The 17,840-nt window shown below is 46.4% G+C and overlaps 3 annotated features.

The window, feature by feature from the left end:
- Positions 886-935: an enhancer, noted in NCBI's record as "active region_17762". NCBI's record gives its function as "activates an Ori minimal core promoter by ATAC-STARR-seq in GM12878 lymphoblastoid cells {active_cell/tissue: GM12878}" and the evidence as "EXISTENCE:reporter gene assay evidence [ECO:0000049][PMID:35858748]".
- Positions 986-1,095: an enhancer, noted in NCBI's record as "active region_17761". NCBI's record gives its function as "activates an Ori minimal core promoter by ATAC-STARR-seq in GM12878 lymphoblastoid cells {active_cell/tissue: GM12878}" and the evidence as "EXISTENCE:reporter gene assay evidence [ECO:0000049][PMID:35858748]".
- Positions 10,386-10,601: a silencer, noted in NCBI's record as "fragment chr20:32916560-32916775 (GRCh37/hg19 assembly coordinates)". NCBI's record gives its function as "represses an EF-1alpha promoter that drives an FKBP-Casp9 reporter gene in an ReSE screen in K562 erythroleukemia cells {active_cell/tissue: K562}" and the evidence as "EXISTENCE:reporter gene assay evidence [ECO:0000049][PMID:32094911]".

Below are 17,840 nucleotides of genomic sequence, written 5' to 3'. Positions count from 1 at the left end.
AGAATTGCTTGAACCTGGGAGGCGGAGGCTGCGGTGAGCTAAGATCCCACCATTGCACTCCAGCCTGGGCAACAAGAGCAAAACTCTGTCTCAAAAAAAAAAAAAAAAAAAGTTCCCTGATTAAAAAACAAAGCTGCCAGGAGTGGTGGCTCATGCCTGTAATCCCAGCACTTTGGGAGGTCAAGGCGGGTGGATCACCTGAGATCAGAAGTTCGAGACCAGCCTGGCCAACGTGGCAAAACCCCGTCTCTACAAAAAATACAAAAATTAGCAGGATGCGGTGGCGCAAGCCTGTATTCCCAGCTACTCAGTATGCTGAGGCACGAGAATCGCTTGAACCTGGGAGGTGGAGGTTACAGTGAGCTGTGATCGTGCCACTGCACTACATACAGCCTGGGTGATAGAGGGAGACTTTGTCTCAAAAAAAAAAACCAAAACAAACAAACAAACAAAAAAAACAGAGGCCTGGCCTGGTGGTTCATGCCTGTAATCTCAGCAGTTTGGGAGGCTGAGGTGGGTGGATCACTTGAGGTCAGGAGTTCAAGACCAGCTTGGCCAAAATGGTAAAACCCTGTCTCTACTAAAAATACAAAAATTAGCCAGGCATGGTGGCGGGCGCCTGTAATCCCAGCTACTCAGGAGGCTGAGGCAGAAGAATTGCTTGAACCCGGGAGGTGGCGGTTGCAGTGAGCCAAGATCACACCACTGCACTTCAGCCTGTGCAACAGAGCGAGTCTCCATCTTGAAAACAAAAACAAAAACCACCAAAGTTGGTGTCAAGCCCAGCACAGGGCAGAGCCTGCATGTGAGAGCTAAGTGGCTTCCGCTGTGGGGAGAAGCTTCCTGGGGCAGGGCAGGGCGTTGAGCAGCACCTGAGAGTCCGGAGGCATTGACAATTTATTATTTCCATCCAATAAAGCATTCATACCTTGCTGTCTTGCTTCATTTTCTTCCCCCAACAACCCGGAAGCAAATATTCGCTATTTCTGCTTGGCAGACGAGGAGATGAGGCTCAAGGGGTTGAGTAACTTGACAAAGGACAAATCGGTAGCAGAGCTAAAATTTTTGTTTAGGTCTTTTTTTTTGAGATAGGGTCTCACTCTGTTACCCATGCTAGGGAACAGCGGCGCCATCACAGCTCACTGCAATCTCCACCTCCCGGGGTCACGTGATCCTCTAACCTCAGCCTCCTGAGTAACTGGGACTACAGGCTAGTGTATCACAGGACCAGCTAATTTTTGGTAGAGACGGGGTTTCCCCATGTTGGCCAGGCTGGTCTTGAACTCCTGACCTCAAGTGATCTGCCTGCCTCATCCTCCCCAAAGCACTGGGATTACAGGTGTGAGCCACTGTGCCCAACCCAGCAGAGCTAAAATTTAAACCTGCTTCTCAGAGATAAATTAAGGAGCAAAGGAAGCCTTTGTTGGATAGCTTCCAGAGGTTGGGAATGTCCCTGGAAAGTGCTGAGATGGAGTCAATTCTGTTGACTGGGGACTCCTAGTAGATAAGCAAGAAATTAGTTGATAAGTTCTAGTGGTGGGGATGATGAAGACTGAGCACCCGAAGGGGAATGCTTGCAGAGTGATAAATAGTCCCTACACTGCCTTCTAGGGAGATCAAGTTTCCCCATGGGGCTTCTGTCTTAGGAGGTTCTATGAAAATGTAGTCAGAGCTGAATTGCCAGGAAAATGAAGAGACTGGGGGTTGCTACTTCATCTTTCCTTTTGGCCCTTCCTCATATAGCTCTCAACCTCTCCTCTTGATTAGTGGAGACCATATAATAATACAGCAATATTGGTTCCTATCTGCTGTGCATTTGCTATGAGCCAGACTCTTCTTATTTTTATTTATTGGTTTATTTATTTTTTGAGACAGGGTCTTGTTCTGTGGCCTAGGCTGGAGTGCAGTGGTACAATCACAGCTCACTGTAGCCTCAACTTCCCAGGCTCAAGCGATCCTCCCACCTCAGCCTCCCGAGTAGCTGGGACTATAGGCGCACATCACCATGCCCAGCTAATTTTTGTATTTTTTGTAGAGACGGGGTTTCACTGTGTTGCCCAGGCTGGTCTCAAACTCCTGGGCTGAAGCGATCCACCTACCTTGGGCTACCAAAGTGTTGGGATTACAGGCGTGAGCCACTGCACCCAGCTTAGCCAGATTCTTTTCATGTATCATATGGAATCCTCATGATTATATAAAGCAAGTCCTCCCATCATCCTCATTTTAAGGAAAAGGAGGCAAAGTGTGATTGTATTCATTGTCTGTGGCTGTGTCAGGAATTACCCCAAAACTACAAAGCTTAAAACAGCAATAAACATTTATTACCTCAGGTATTTTCTATAGGCAAGGAATTCAGGAGCTGATTAGTTGAGTGATTCTCACCAGAAACATCTCATAAGTTTCAAGATGTTGACCAGGGCTGCAGTCATCTGGAAGCTGGACTGGGGTTGGAGGATACAGTTTCAAGCGGGCCCGTGCACACGGCTGGCAAAGCAGTTGGCTGTTGGCAAGCAGTCTCAGTTACTTCTTGCTGTGTGTGTCCCTGCATTGGGCTGTGCTTATAACATAGCATATAACATTGAGTGTGCTTATAACATAGCAGCTAAGTTCCCTTAGGGCAAGTGATCCAAGAGAGCAAGATGGAAGCTGCAGTCTCTTTGTTTTTTTGTTTGGTTTTGTTTTTGAGACGGAGTCTCGCTCTGTTGCCCAGGCTGGAGTGCAATGGTGCGATCTTGGCTCACTACAATCTCTGCCTCCCAAGTTCAAGCAATTCTCCTGCCTCAGCCTCCTGAGTAGCTGGGGTTACAGGCACGTGCCACCACCCCCGGTTAATTTTTGTATTTTTAATAGAGACGGGGTTTCACCATGTTGGTCAGGGTGGTCTCGAACTCCTGACCTCGTGATCTGCCTGCCTTGGCCTCCCAAAGTGCTGGGATTGCAGGCATGAGCCACTGCGCCTGGCTGTTTTTATTTTTTGAGACAGGTTCTTGCTCTATTGCCCAGGCTGGAATGCAGTGGTGTCATCTCAGCTCACTGCAACCTTGACTTCCTGGGCTCAGGCGATTCTCTCACCTCAGCCTCCCAAGTAGGTTGAGACCACAGGTGCTAATTTTCTTTTCTCTTTTTAGTAGAGGTGAGGTCTCGTTTTATGGCTATGTTGCCTGGGCTGATCTCAATCTCCTGGACTCCAGTGATCCTCCCACCTTAGCCTCCCAAAGTGCTAGGATTACAGGCATGAGACACTGTGCCCAGCCTTGCATTGTCTTTTCTGACCTGGCCTCAGAAGTCACACCTGTTTCTGCAGTAGCCTGGTGGTTATGTAGGAAGAGAGAATCATTGAGGGCCATCTTGGAGGCCACTACCACGATGATAAGTAATTTGCCCAAGGTCACATACATGGGAAGCGTTAGAGGTGAGCTTTGAAGCCAGGAAGTTACTATGTCACAGTAAATATTAGTTTGAAGGAGTAGGGGCAGGCATGTACCCACAGGTCTCCTCTATCCTGGAGGCATTCATGCTTGAGATCCTGAGCTTCTCATTCCAATGGGCAGGTGAGTCAGACACTATCTGATGTGTCAGACAGACATTTTGTACAAGCAACATAATTTGACATTTTCTTTCTTTTTTTTTTTTGAGTAGGAGTCTCTCTCTGTCACGCAGGCTGGAGCGCAGTGGCGTGATCTTAGCTCACTGCAACCTCTGCCTCCCAGGTTCAAGCGATTCTCCTGCCTCAGCCTCCCGAGTAGCTGGGATTATAGGCATGTACCACCACGCTGGCTAATTTTTGTATTTTTAGTAGAGACAGGGTTTCACTATGTTGGCCAGCCTGGTCTCAAACTCCTGACCTCAAATGATCCACCCACCTTGGCCTCCCAAAGTGCTGGGATTATAGGCGTGAGCCACTGCGCCCAGCCAATTTGGGCATTTTTAAAAGACAGAAACAAACAAACAACAAAAAACAGCAAAAGATCGCACAGACTTGCACTTAATGGTAGACATGCTGAATTAAAGGGAACCTGACTGTGGCTCCAGCTTTGCCACTGACTTACTGAAGGACCTTAGGCAAGCTCCAGCCCCCTTTGGGGCCTTTGTTTTCCCATCTGTACAATGGAGCAGTTTGATTCCATGGACACTGAGGTCCTCTGGCTGGGTGATTCTGGGATTCTACGTAGAGAGCTGTTCACGGAGAAAGCCCAGGGAGTTCTTTCTCCACTTTCCCTGGCTTCATCTGTCCTTTGCTGAAGGGGAGCGGACCCCTCAGGTGCAAGGGGCACTCTTCTGGACCCAGGCCAGACCCAGCCAGGCTGTTCAGCCTTGTTTCACCCGAAGCTGGCTGGCACCATTGTTCCCCCATAAAGCTGGGCCCCTTTCCAGCTGCTACTGAACTCAGGGCAGGGGAGAGGCTCAAAGGACTCAGTTGTGTGGATTTCCTCCCTCCCCCAGGGCAGGCCTGGGTCACCCAACAGGCTGATTCAGCCCTTACAGAGGAACAAAAGAGATGAGATATGGTTTAGGGACAGAATTTGACATTTACCATTTTCCCTCATAAAACTTAAAAGTAATCATCTTGGGGAAATCCCCTTATGTTTATTTATTTTACAGTTCAGGGACATTTTAAAAAATTGGGGCAAGGGCATTGTTTCCAATTTCAGTGCTTAGGGACTCATATTTTAATGATTCTATGATGCACATTTGTTTACCTTTTAATATCTTTGAAATTGGAATGCATGTAACAGTTAATGACATAATAAGCTAATTGCAGCATTTAAAAAGTACATAGGCCGGGGGTGGTGGCTCATGCCTGTGCCACCAGCACTTTGGGAGGCCGAGGTGGGCAGATCACGAGGTCAGGAGTTTGAGACCTGCCTGGCCAACATGGTGAAACCCCGTCTCTACTAAAAATACAAAAATTAGCTGGGCATGGTAGCGCATGCCTGTAGTCCCAGCTACTCTACTCGGGAGGCTGAGGCAGGAGAATCACTTGAGCTCGGGAGGCAGAGGTTGCAGTGAGCCGAGATCGCGCCACCACTGCACTCCAGCCTGGCAACAGAGCAAGACTCTGTCTCAAAAAAAAAGAACATAAAATAGTGGTGTATATTACAATGATGGATCTTAAATTTGATGAACTAGGATAATTAGCTTCTGTTCTTGGATTCTAGGCCTACTGGATCTTGGACCCCCCTCAACCCCACAACCCAGTCTTTTCCACCACCCACAGGCTTGTCTTTATCCTAGCGTCATTGTCTTAACCCTCTGTCTCCAATATAATCCTTTGCACTTTTTTTTTTAACTCAAAAATCTTTTTACAGAAACTCTTAGAAGGGAGGAGAGGCCCACCCAGGAGCTGGGGGCACTGCTCAGCCACAGCCACGTTCCGTGTGGGCTGGGTATGGTGGCTGCTTCCCTGCAGAGGGCATGATTTCCTTATTACTTTTGACCTTTACACTTTTTTTTTAACAGCTTTTCCTCCGCATAAGACCCTGAAGGAATGGTGAGGGGAGACTCTCCCCAACTTCTGATCAAGACAGAGATTATTATTATTATTATTATTTTTGAGATAGAGTTTCACTCTTTTTGCCCAGGCTGGAGTGCAATGGTGCGATCTCGGCTCACTGAAACCTCTGCCTCCTGGGTTCAAGCGATTCTCCTGCCTCAGCCTCCTGAGTAGCTAGGATTACAGGCATGTGCCACCACCTCGGCTAATTTTGTATTGTTAGTAGAGACGGGGTTTCTCCATGTTGGTCAGGCTGGTCTTGAACTCCTGACCTCAGGTGATCCACCCACCTCGGCCTCCCAAAGTGCTGGGATTACAGGTGTGAGCCACCATGCCCAGCAAGACAGAGATTATTTAGTACCATTAGTACCATGAAAAGTCACAGAAGAATGAAAACAAATTTAATTCCAACATTGTAGCAGGCACTACTATTCATGTTTTATCATGTTTTATGTATGTTAACTCACTTAATCCTTACAACCATTTATCAAGTAACTACGAATGTGTCCCTATTTTACAGATGGGGAGCCTGAGGCACAGAAGTGCTACAGTCTGCTCAAGATCACATAGGTAGTTAGTGACCAGAGTCCAGGGGAAAAAAAGCAACATTTCTCTTTTGGCTTTTCTGCCAATTCTATTTTTTTTTTTTTTTTTTTAGACTGGGTCTTGCTCTGTCACCCATGCTGGAGTACAGTAGCACAATCTCAGCTCACTGAAGCCTCAACTTAACCAGGGCTCAAGCAATCCTCCCATCTCAGCCTCCCAAGCCTCCCAAGTAGCTGGGACTACAGGTGTGTGCCACACCTGGCTAATTTTGTTTATTTTTTTTGCAGAGACGAGGTTTCACTATGTTGCCCAGGGGGGTCTCAAACTCCTGGGTTCAAGCAATCCTCCTGCCTCAGTCTCCCAGAGTGCTAGGATTACAGGTGTGAACCACCACACTCAGCCCCTTTCTGCCAATCCTTGCCCCAGAGATAACAGGTCATAAATGTGGTTTATATCCTTCTGATGCAGGATATTTCTCAGCCTTTTCTTTTTTTGGACTCACGGCAGGGGCGCCCTGTCTACTTGGCCTGCCGCACTCACCCCCTTACAGGAGGGAGCACGTGAGTGAGTGCGGGATCTGGCCAGCCACTCCAAGCACTGACACAGGAGCAAGCTCCATGCGGGCCCGTGGACACACCAGGTGTATTGCCTCAAGGGGGACATGGCGGCATCCAGGCAAGGATGCCTGCGACCCTGAAGCCCCAGAGAGGGTATTAGTGTGCTAATTAGCTCTTTTAGTTCCACTGTCCACAGCCCCCTGGATGGTCGGTGTGTTAGCAGCTCAGTCGGCCCCTGGCCCTGTCACGTGGGGTAGCTGCCGTCCTAGAAGGGCAGAGGGCCAGTGTGACAGCCTTTCAGGGTACCCGCACTTGGTGGGTCCCGAGCTCTTGTCCAGTGTTCAAGAAGAATGAGGTCACGTGGAGGACTGAAGGGTGATGAGGGCAGATAATTTTACGGAGTGACGGAACAGCTCACAGCGGAGAGGGGATGTGGGGGTGGGGGTGGTTTCTCTCTCCTTGTGGCTGGGTCTGGGGCTTTTTATGGCCTCAGAATGGGGACTACATGCTGATTGTGAGTATGCAAAAAAGGTTAAAGCAAAGACATCACTCAAAGGTGGGCATGGACAGTGTAAAAAACCAATTAGGAAAGGGTAGGTAAATGTAAACTAGGTGAAGGGTGGGGACCAATCAGAGGAAAGCGCACCAAATAGGAAGACAGGTTCTCAGTCTCATTCGTGGATTTGACTTGTAGCTTGGCTTTCAGGCTTCAAGCTGTCTTTGTCTTGGAGGTGGAGTTTCGCCAGGGACCTGCCCCGTCTGCCTAGGCGTTTGTCTGCCTCCTGCCGTGATCACTTCCAAATCTTATTTTTATGCATTTGTGGCATAAACATGTAGAAATACATAATTTTGCTCTACATGGGGGCCATGTTGTTCTGCAACTGGCTTTTTCTACTTAACCCCGTGACTAAGAGATTTATTTTCTCTCTTTCTCTCTCCTTTTTCTTATTTAATTAAATTAATTAATTTCTTTATTTTAAGAGACGGGGTCACACTCTGTCACCCACGCTGGAGTGCAGTGGCATGATCTTGGCTCACTGCAGCCTAGAGCTCCTGGGGTCAGGTGATCCTCCTGCCTTAGCTACCCAGTAGTGGGGACTACTACGGTGAGTGCCATCACACCCAGCTAATTTTTTTGTTTGGTATTTTTTTTGTAGAGATGGAATTTCACCATGTTGCCCAAGCTGGTCTTGAACTCTTGAGCTCAGGCAATCCGCCCACCTTGGCCTCCCAAAGTATTAGGATTACAGGCATGAGCCACCATGCCTGGCTTCTCTCTTTTTTCTTTCTTTTTAAAATAGAGACAGGGTCTTGTTATGTTTTAGCAGACTGGTCCCAAACTCCTGGCCTCAAGTGACCCTTCTACTTCCACCCCTCAAAGGGCTGGGATTACATATGTGAGCCACTGTGCCTGGCTGAGGTTTCTTTTCTATGTAGATACATATAGAGTTACTAGTTGTTTTTTTTTTAGACGGAGTTTCACTCTTTCGCCCAGGCTGGAGTGAAGTGGCGCAATCTCGGCTCACTGCAACCTCTGCCCTCTGGGTTCAAGCGATTCTCCTGCCTCAGCCTTTCAAGTAGTTGGGATTACAGGCGCATGCCACCAAGCCCGGCTAATTTTTGTATTTTTAGTAGAGACGGAGTTTCACCATGTTGGCCAGGCTGCTCCTGAACTCTTGACCTCAGGTGATCCACCCACCTCAGCCTCCCAAAGTACTAGGATTGTAGGTGTGAGACACCTTGCCCAGCCAAGTTACTAGTTCTTTATAACAGCTGCACGGTATTCCTTAGTATGTATATTATGAAAATACACTTAAGGAGGCCGGACGTGGTGGCTCACGCTTGTAATCCCAGCACTTTGGGAGGCTGAGGCGGGTGGATCACGAGGTCAGGAGTTCGAGACCAGCCTGGCCAACATAGTGAAACCCTGTCTCTACTAAAAATGCAAAAATTAGCTGGGCATGATGGCGTGCGCCTGTAGTCCCAGCTACCCGGGAGGCTGAGGCAGGAGAGTCTCTTGAACCCAGGAGGTGGAGGTTGTGGTGAGCCGAGATCGTGCCACGGCTCTCCTGCCTGGGCAACAGAGCAAGACTCCGTCTCAAAAAAAAAAAAAAAAAAAAAAAAAGCATCATTATGTAGGCATGATTGATAAATAATTGGCCTTTGGTGATTAACTTCACTTTGAGCCCCTCCCTGGAGGTTGGGGGTGGGGCTGAAACTTCCAACCCTCTGACCAAATGGTTGGATCCTCTGGAAGCCAGCCCCCGTCATCCTGTGGTTATCTTGGAACTTTCCCCAAATCCTTTCATTAACGTAAACTCAAGTGTGTTTGAAAAGGGATTGTTATAAATAACAATCTTTTTATCTTTCACCTTCTGGCACAGGAGGCGGAGGTTGCAGTGAGCAGAGATCACGCCACTGCACTCCAGCCTGGGTGACAGAGAGAGACTCCGTCTCAACAACAACAACAACAAAAAAAAAAAAAAGAAAGAAAAGAAAATACAACCAAGGGCCTATGTGGTACCAGCCTCCATCCTCCATCCTCTGTGCTTCACGTGTCGCATTTCCACCTTTCCATCACAGTCTGTGCTCATAAGCATTTTTCTTTTTTTTTTTTTTTTGAGACAGGGTTTTTATCTGTCACCCAGGCTGGAGTATAGTACAGTGGTAGGATCATCGATCACTGCAGTCCTGAACTCCCAAGCTCAAATGTCCCAAGTAGCTGAGACCACAGGTGTGTGGCCACCACGCCCTTCTAATTTTTAAATTTTTTTAAGAGATGGGGTCTCCCTATGAAACTAGTCTTGAACTCCTGGGCTCAAGCTATCCTCCCTCCTCAGCCTTCCAAAGTTTGCTGGGATTACAGGCCTGAGCCATTGTGCCTGGCCCTCTCTCTCTCTTTTTTTAAATTAAAAATTTCAACCTCCAGATTCTCACCTTCTTGTCTTTTAAATAAGGATAATAATCTCAACTTTGTAGGGAATTGTGAGAATTAGAGGGAATGTTTTTAAGGTGCCTGGCATTCAGAAAGTGCTTAATAAACAGTGCTTAATAAATGATGCCCAGTAAATAGTTCTGATTTAATTGTGAGATATTAAACGGGAACACTCTTGGCACCTCACTCGGAGAGGCTGATCACACGTTGCTCATGGAAGAATACATTCCTTGAGGCCACAATCATGAGGAAAAGGCCAAGAGAATCACAGAGACATTGGCCGTAACACTGTTAAGCCAGTAAAATAACATGAGCAGCTCCTGGGCCGGAGTGCGGTGGCGCCATCATCACTCACTGTAGCCTCGACTTCCTGGGTCTCAGGTGATCCTCCCACCTCAGCCTCCCAAGTGGCTGGGACTACAGGCATGTGCCCCCATGCCCAGGTAATTTTTTTTTTTCATGAAGGGCATGATAGTTTATTTTTTTAAATTGTACCACACTGATCATGATGACCAGCGTACACATGATAATGGCTTTTCTCTTGGGTTTAACATTACAGTATTTCTGCATACTGCAATGTTTCAATAGGACCAAGAATGTTAGAGAAAAAAGATCTTAGATGAAAATGAACACTAATAATTCTAGTGTTCTCCCCCATAGAATTAATGTAAACCCCTTATGAGTCAGTGGCATTATAATGTTATGTGGTTATGAAGAATGAAAGTTCTCTTAGAAGTAGGCAGCATGAATTTATACTTGTATAATTTATACTTGTGCTTCCTTGTACTTTCATCTTTAGTTTTTATAATTTAAGCTATGTCCACCCTGGTTAAAATACAATCATACAGTACACCTCAGATAATTTCCATGCTACCATTGCACAAGTTTAGTGATTTTACTATTTTAAAAAAATAATAAATTTTTTTTTTTGAGACGGAATCTTGCTGTGTCACCCAGGCTGGAGTGCAGTGGTATGATCTCAGCTTACTGCAGCCTCTGCCTCCCAGGTTCAAGCGATTCTCCCATCTCAGCCTCCTGAGTAGCTAGGACCACAGGCACATGCCACCACGCCCAGCCAATTTTTTTAAAATTATACTTTAAGTTCTAGGGTACATGCACACAACCTGCAGGTTTGATACATAGGTATACATGTGCTATGTTGGTTTGCTGCACCCATCAACTCATCATTTACATTAGGTATTTCTCCTAATGCTATCCCTCCCCCAGGCCGCCACCCCCTGACAGGCCCCAGTGTGTGATGTTCCCCACCCTGTGTCCAAGTGTTCTTTTTGTTCAATTCCCACCTATGAGTGAGAACATGTGGTGTTTGTTCTTCTGTCCTTGTGATAGTTTGCTGAGGATGATGGTTTCCAGCTTCATCCATGTCCCTGCAAAGGACATGAACGCATCGTTTTTTATGGCTGCATAGTATTCCATGGTATATATGTGCCACATTTTCTTAATCGAGTCTATCATTGATGGACATTTGGGTTGGTTCCAAGTCTTTGCTATTGTGAATAGTGCCACAATAAACATGTGTGTGCATGTGTCTTTATAGTAGCATGATTTATAACCCTTTGGGTATATACCCAGTAATGGGATTGCTGGGTCAAATGGTAATTCTAGTCCTAGATCCTTGAGGAATCACCACACTGTCTTCCACAATGGTTGAACTAATTTACACTCCCACCAACAGTGTAAAAGCATTCCTATTTCTCCACATCCTCTCCAGCATCTGCTGTTTCCTGACTTTTTAATGATTGCTATTCTAACTGGCGTGAGATGGTATCTCATTGTGGTTTTGATTTGCATTTCTCTGATGACCAGTGATGAGCATTTTTTCATGTGTCTGTTGGCTGCACAGATGTCTTCTTTTGAGAAGTGTCTGTTCATATCCTTTGCCCACTTTTTGATGGGGTTGTTTTTTTCTGGTAAATTTGTTTGAGTTCTTTGTAGATTCTGGATATTAGCCCTTTGTCAGATGGGTAGATTGCAAAAATTTTCTCCCATTCTGTAGGTTGCCTGTTCACTCTGATGGTAGTTTCTTTTGCCATGCAGAAGCTCTTTAGTTTAATTAGATCCTATTTGTCTATTTTGGCTTTTGTTGCCATTGCTTTTGGTGTTTTAGTCATGAAGTCTTTGCCCATGCCTATGTCCTGAGTGGTATTGCCTAGGTTTTCTTCTAGGGTTCTTATGGTTTTAGGTCTAACATGTAAGTCTTTAATCCATCTTGAATTAATTTTTGTATAAGGTGTAAGGAAGGGATCCATTTCAGCTTTCTACATATGGCTAGCCAGTTTTTCCAGCACCATTTATTAAATAGGGAATCCTTTCCCCATTTCTTGTTTTTGTCAGGTTTGTCAAAGATCAGATGGTTGTAGGTGTGTGGTGTTATTTCTGAGGCCTCTGTACTGTTTCATTGGTCTATACATCTGTTTTGGTAGCAGTACCATGCTCTTTTGGTTACTGTAGCCTTGTGGTATAGTTTGAAGTCAGGTAACGTGATGCCTCCAGCGTTGTTCTTTTTGCTTAGGATTATCTTGGCAATGCAATGCCCAGCCAATTTTTATATTTTTAGTAGAGATGGGGCTTCACCTTGTTGGCCAGGCTGGTCTTGAAAGCCCGACCTCAAATGATCCTCTGGCTGTGGTCTCTCAAAGTGCTGGGATTACAGGTGTGAGCCACTGTGCCTGGCCCCTGGCTAATGTTTTGGGATTTTTTGTAGAAACAGGGTTTCACCACATTGCCCAGGCTGGTCCTGAACTCCTGGGCTCAGGTGATCCTCTGGCCTCCGCATCCTAAACTGCTTGATTACAGGTGTGAGCCACCATGCCTGGCCTAAGCTTATGGGTTTTTGATGATACCATGAAGCTGCCATACCAGCCCTGGATAGCCTACCCACAAGCCAACCTCCAACTGCTTTGTCCATAAGAAGCGTTTCTTTCTTTTTTTTTTTTTTTGTGAGATGGAGTCTTGCTCTGTTGCCCAGGCTGGAGTGCACTGGCACAATCTCGGCTCACTGCAACCTCTGCCTCCCAAGTTCAAGTGATCCTCCTGCCTCAGCCCCCAAGTAGCTGGGATTACAGGCACGCGCCACCATGCCCGGCTAATTTTTGTATTTTTAGTAGAGACAGGGTATCGCCATGTTGGCTAGGCTGGTCTCGAACGCCTGACCTCAGGTAATCCACCAGCCTTGGCCTCCCAAAATGCTGGGATTACAGGCGTGAGCCACTGCACCCAGCCACGTTTCTTTTTTAATACACTTTGACCCATCAACATTTAGTTTAGTCAAGGTTAGGCAATGTAATTCTGGTCACTAGGGAAGTTTATTTTATTATTATTATTTTTTTTTTTGAGACGGAGTCTCGCTCTGTCACCCAGGCTGGAGTGCAGTGGCATGATCTCCACTCACTGCAAGCTCCGCCTCCCAGGTTCAAGCCATTCTCCTGCCTCAGCCTCCTGAGTAGCTGGGACTACAGGTGCCTGCCACCACGCCCAGCTGATTTTTTGTATTTTTAGTAGAGACGGGGTTTCACTGTGTTAGCCAGGATGGTCTGGATCTCCTGACCTCGTGATCCGCCCACCTCGACTTCCCAAAGTGCTGGGATTAGGCATGAGCCACCACGCCCGGCCTAGGGAAGTGTATTGACAAGTAGTGGGAGTAGGAGGAGAAGGAGAGCACATCTGGAAAAGTTTTCCTATCTTCTGACTCTGGCCATTGTTATAAAGGGGTGATAGTTTCGTCTGGAGTAACGTGAACATGTAGGGAGCCAGTTTGATGAGAGAGTCAATACCTGAGGGCAGGAGAATAGAATGACAGCAAGAACCTGGGTCCTTGATGAAGTCCACAGAGCGTCCACTGAATTGATATACCCTTGAGCCACGCAGCCTCCAGATTCTTGTTACATGGGATAATAGCATCCACTCTGTTGTTAAACCCACTTTGAGTTGGGTTTATGTTATTTGTAGCCAAAATTCTGACTAGAGCCAGCAGTATGATACGGTCCAAAGTGTGGCCATTGCAGTGGGTGGCGGAGACAAAGTGGAGGCCAGGGCCAAGGTGTGTGATGGGTCAACCTCATGGGATGTGAAATCGCCCGAGGAGACAGCAGGCTTGGGAGGAAAGGAAGAGTTTGGGGCAGGGGCTGAAGTCCTCAGCAAACGGAGAGCGGGAGGATGGCAGGAACTGCTTTTGTCTCTCTTGACTAGAGCAGGGGAAGAACAAAAAAAAGAACTGGGCAGGCACGGTGGCTCATGCCTGTAATCCCAGCACTTTGGGAGGCCAAGGCAGGGTGATCATTTGAGGTCAGAAGTTCAAGACCAGCCTGGCCAACATGGTGAAACCCTGTCTCTACTAAAAATACAAAAACTAGCCAGTCATGGTGGCAGGCGCCTATAGTCCCAGCTACTTGGGAGGCCGAGGCAAAGGAATCGCTTGAATCCGGGAGGTGGAGGTTGCAGTGAGCCCTGATCGCACCACTGAACTCCAACCTGGGTGACAGAGCAAGACTCTGTCTCAAAAAAAAAAAAAAAAAAAAAAAAGAACTGTTTTTCTTCTTTTTTTGTTTTTTTGTGTGTTTTTTTGAGACAGGGTATCACTCTGTCTCCCAGGCTGGAGTGCAGTGGTACCATCAGGGCTCACTGCAGGCTCTACCTCCCAGGCTCAAGCAATCCTCACACCTCCTTTGGAGTAGCTGGCAATATAGGCGCCTGCCACCACACCTGGCTAATGTTTTACTTTTATTGTAGAGTGAGGGTCTCTCACGCTGTCACAAGAGCAGAAGTTTTGATGTGAAGAGGGAGAATGTGTCAAGCAAGATCGAATTGATTGTAAGAAACAGAGACTAATCCTGCCCCTCAGAGATCCTGCTTTGTGAAATGCCTGTTCAAGTCCTCTGCCCAGTCTTTCTTCCTTTCTTCTTTTAATGAGATTTGTCTTTTTCTCATTGACCTATAGGGATCCTGGTGTCAAGAAGGAAAAGGAAAGGAAGGGGCATCATCCTCCCTGCACAAGCTCACAGACCTCTGTCCCCTGGCTGCTTCATGACCTAATTTCCTCCCCTCTGCCCTCAGCTCACTTCACTGCTAATTCAGCAACCTCCTTGCTAGTCCCGGAATGTGCCAGACACGTTCTCACCTAAAGGTCTTTGTTCATGCTGTTTCCTTTGCACAAAATGTCTTTCTCCAAACACTTACTTTGGCACTCAGTTCTCTGCCCTGCAAAGAGGCCTCCCAACACCCCTCCCCACAGTGTCTCCTACCTCCTGGTCACTCCCATCTCTTTTAGTTTTTTTCATAGCACTCACTACCACCTGATATTATATGGTTCATAATATATTTAGTTTTTTGTTTTTTTTAAGAGACAATGTTTCACTCTGTCACCCAGGCTGCAGTGTAGTGGCACAATCATAGCTCACTGTAACCCTGAACTCCCGGGCTCAAGCAATCCTCCCACATCAGCCTTTCAAGTAGGTGGAAGTACAGGCATGCACCACCATGCTCGGCTAATTTTTACAATTTTTTGTAGAGACAAGTCTTGCTGTGTTCCCAGGCTGGTCTTGAACCCCTGGCCTCAAGCGATCCTCCCACCTTGGCCTCCCAAAGTGCTGGGATTACAGGCATGAGCCACTGAGTTCCACCATATTTGTGTATATCTATACACAAATATCTTTATGTGTGTGTAGATAGATATGTTTTTATATATATTATATATGTAATATACATTTATATATGTAATGTTTATACATGTGCAGTATAACTATGTAATGTTTATATATGTGTAGAATAACTGTGTAATGTTTATATATATATATATCCCCCCTCTAGGACATTAGCTCCTCAAGGACAGGGCTTCGCTCACTGCTGTAGCACAGTTCCTGGCCCTTAGTAGTGTTAAAAGAAAAACTAGCTGAATTAAACGTAAAAGAGTTTAATTGAGCAAAGAATGGGCAGCCTCCCAAGCCAGTGTAGGCTCAGAGACTCCCACGCAGCTGTCACTGGAAAGGGGTCCTAATCTAGCTAGACTCCAAGAGACGGTTCTTGGACCTCACGCAACAAAGAATTCAGGGCAAGTCCACAAAGTGAAAAGTTTATTAAGAAAGTAAAGGAATAGGGCCGGGTGCGGTGGCTCACGCCTGTAATCCCAGCACTTTGGGAGGCTGAGGCAGGCGGATCAAGAGGTCAGGAGATTAAGACCATCCTGGCTAACACAGCGAAAGCCCGTCTCCACTAAAAATACAAAAAATTATCCAGCCGTGGTGGCATGCACCTGTAATCACAGCTACTCAGGAGGCTGAGGCAGGAGAATTGCTTGAACCTGTGGGGCAGAGGTTGCAGTGAGCCGAGATCGCGCCACTGCACTCCCGCCTGAGCGACAGAGTAAGACTTGTCTCAGAAAAAAAAAAAAGAAAGTAAAGGAATAAAAGAGTGGCTACTCCATAGGCAGAGCAGCAGCATGGGCTGCTCAACTGATTATACTTATCATTATTTCTTGACCATATGCTAAACAAAGGGTGGATTATTCATGAGTTTCCTGGGAAAGGGTTGTGCAATTCCTGGAAGTGAAGTTTCCTTCCCTTATAGAGTAACTTCCAGCTGTTGCCATGCATCTGTAAACTGTCGTGGCACTGGCGAGACTGTTTCTTAGCATGCTAATGCATTATAATTAGCGTATAATGAACAGTGAGGACGACCAGAGGGCACTTTCATGTCATCTTGGTTTTTGGTGGGTTTTGGCTGGCTTCTTTACTGTATCCTGTTTTATCAGCAAGGTCTTTGTAACCTGTATCTTATGCTGACCTATCTCATCCTGTGACTTAGAATGCCTAACTTCCTGGAATGCAGCTCAGCAGGGTCTCAGCCTTATTTTACCCAGCCCCTATTCAAGATGGTGTTGCTCTGGTTCGACCTATGAGTATAGCCTATGACACAGCCACGTGGTGGAAGAAGATTTATGAACAGAAAAAGGAAAATGTTGTTTCTGTAGAAACAACCAGATTGGTTATAGCATGGCGTTTTTGTCTTATTTGAACACGGTTTGAATAGCTGGCCACACCTGATTGGCAAAACTCGGTGACTGGCACAAGAGTAGGCTGCAGTCTGTTTACAATTCCATTTAGGTTATAGTTCACAATGTACAGAGAAACCTTTAGGCTGAACTTCAAAATATGTGAGGAGTCAGGTTTAGGCTAAACTTCACTTAAAAGTCAGTACTGAGTAAATGTTTGTTGTATGAATGAACGAATTAACCACTAATTATGATGGGGATGAGGAGGAAGAAGGCCCAGATGTGCAGCTGTCATCTAAACTAAGAAGGCAACTGTGCGTGGGAAGCACTTGACCCTAATAGGGTCCCTGGCTCCTTGCCTGAGTGAGATTAGGAACTTCAGAAAAGCTTTTCTCCACACCCCTCCACCTGGCTCGCCTCATCTTCCCAGCTGGTCACAGTACCCAGAGGTTCATTTGCTTTGAACATCTCTGTAAAGCTCTGAAAGTGTTCTTTGTTTCGACATTTTCTCATTTTTTGCAAGTATCAGGCATGGACAAGCACCTTCTGGAAAACACATAACACTCATACACACATACACACTCAATCTAACACACATGCTTGGCCATATCTCATATTCTTATAACCCTCACCAGCTAACTTACCCACACACAGTCCTAATTATGCACAGTTGTAGACACACATGCTTACACTTGACCTCAAGGTCTCACTCCTCTGTCCCACACACTCACAGACATCCATAGTGTTACAGGAAAGGGGTCCCGATCCAGACCCCAAAGAGGGTTCTTTGATCTCACGCAAGAAAAAATTCAGGGCAAGCCCATAAAGTGAAAACAAGTTTATTAGGAAAGTAAAAGAATAAAAGAATGACTACTCCATAGGCAGAGCAGCCCCAATGGCCGCTGGTTGCCCATTTTTATGGTTATTTCTTGATTATATGCTAAACAAGGGGTGGATGATTCATCCCTCCCCTTTTAGACCTTATAGGATAACCTCCTAACATTGCAAAGGCATTTGTAAACTGTCATGGCTGCAGTGGGAATGTAGCAGTGAGGACGACCAGAGGTTACTCTCGTGGCCATCTTGGCTTTGGTGGGTTTTGGTGGCTTCTTTACTGCAACCTGTTTTATTAGCAAGGTATTTATGACCTGCATTTTGTGCAGATCTCCTATGTTATTCTGTGACTTAGAATGCTTTAAACCTGCCAATCACGGTGGCTCACACCTGTAATCCCAGCACTTTGTGAGGCCAAAGCAGGCAGATCACCTGAGGTCAGGAGTTCGAGACCAGGCTGGCCAACAT

Source organism: Homo sapiens, chromosome 20 (assembly GCF_000001405.40).
Source record: "Homo sapiens chromosome 20, GRCh38.p14 Primary Assembly".
In the NCBI taxonomy this organism is placed as follows: Eukaryota; Metazoa; Chordata; class Mammalia; order Primates; family Hominidae; genus Homo; species Homo sapiens.
Note: the sequence above shows the minus strand (reverse complement) of the source record. Positions and strands in the feature narration are given on the sequence as shown.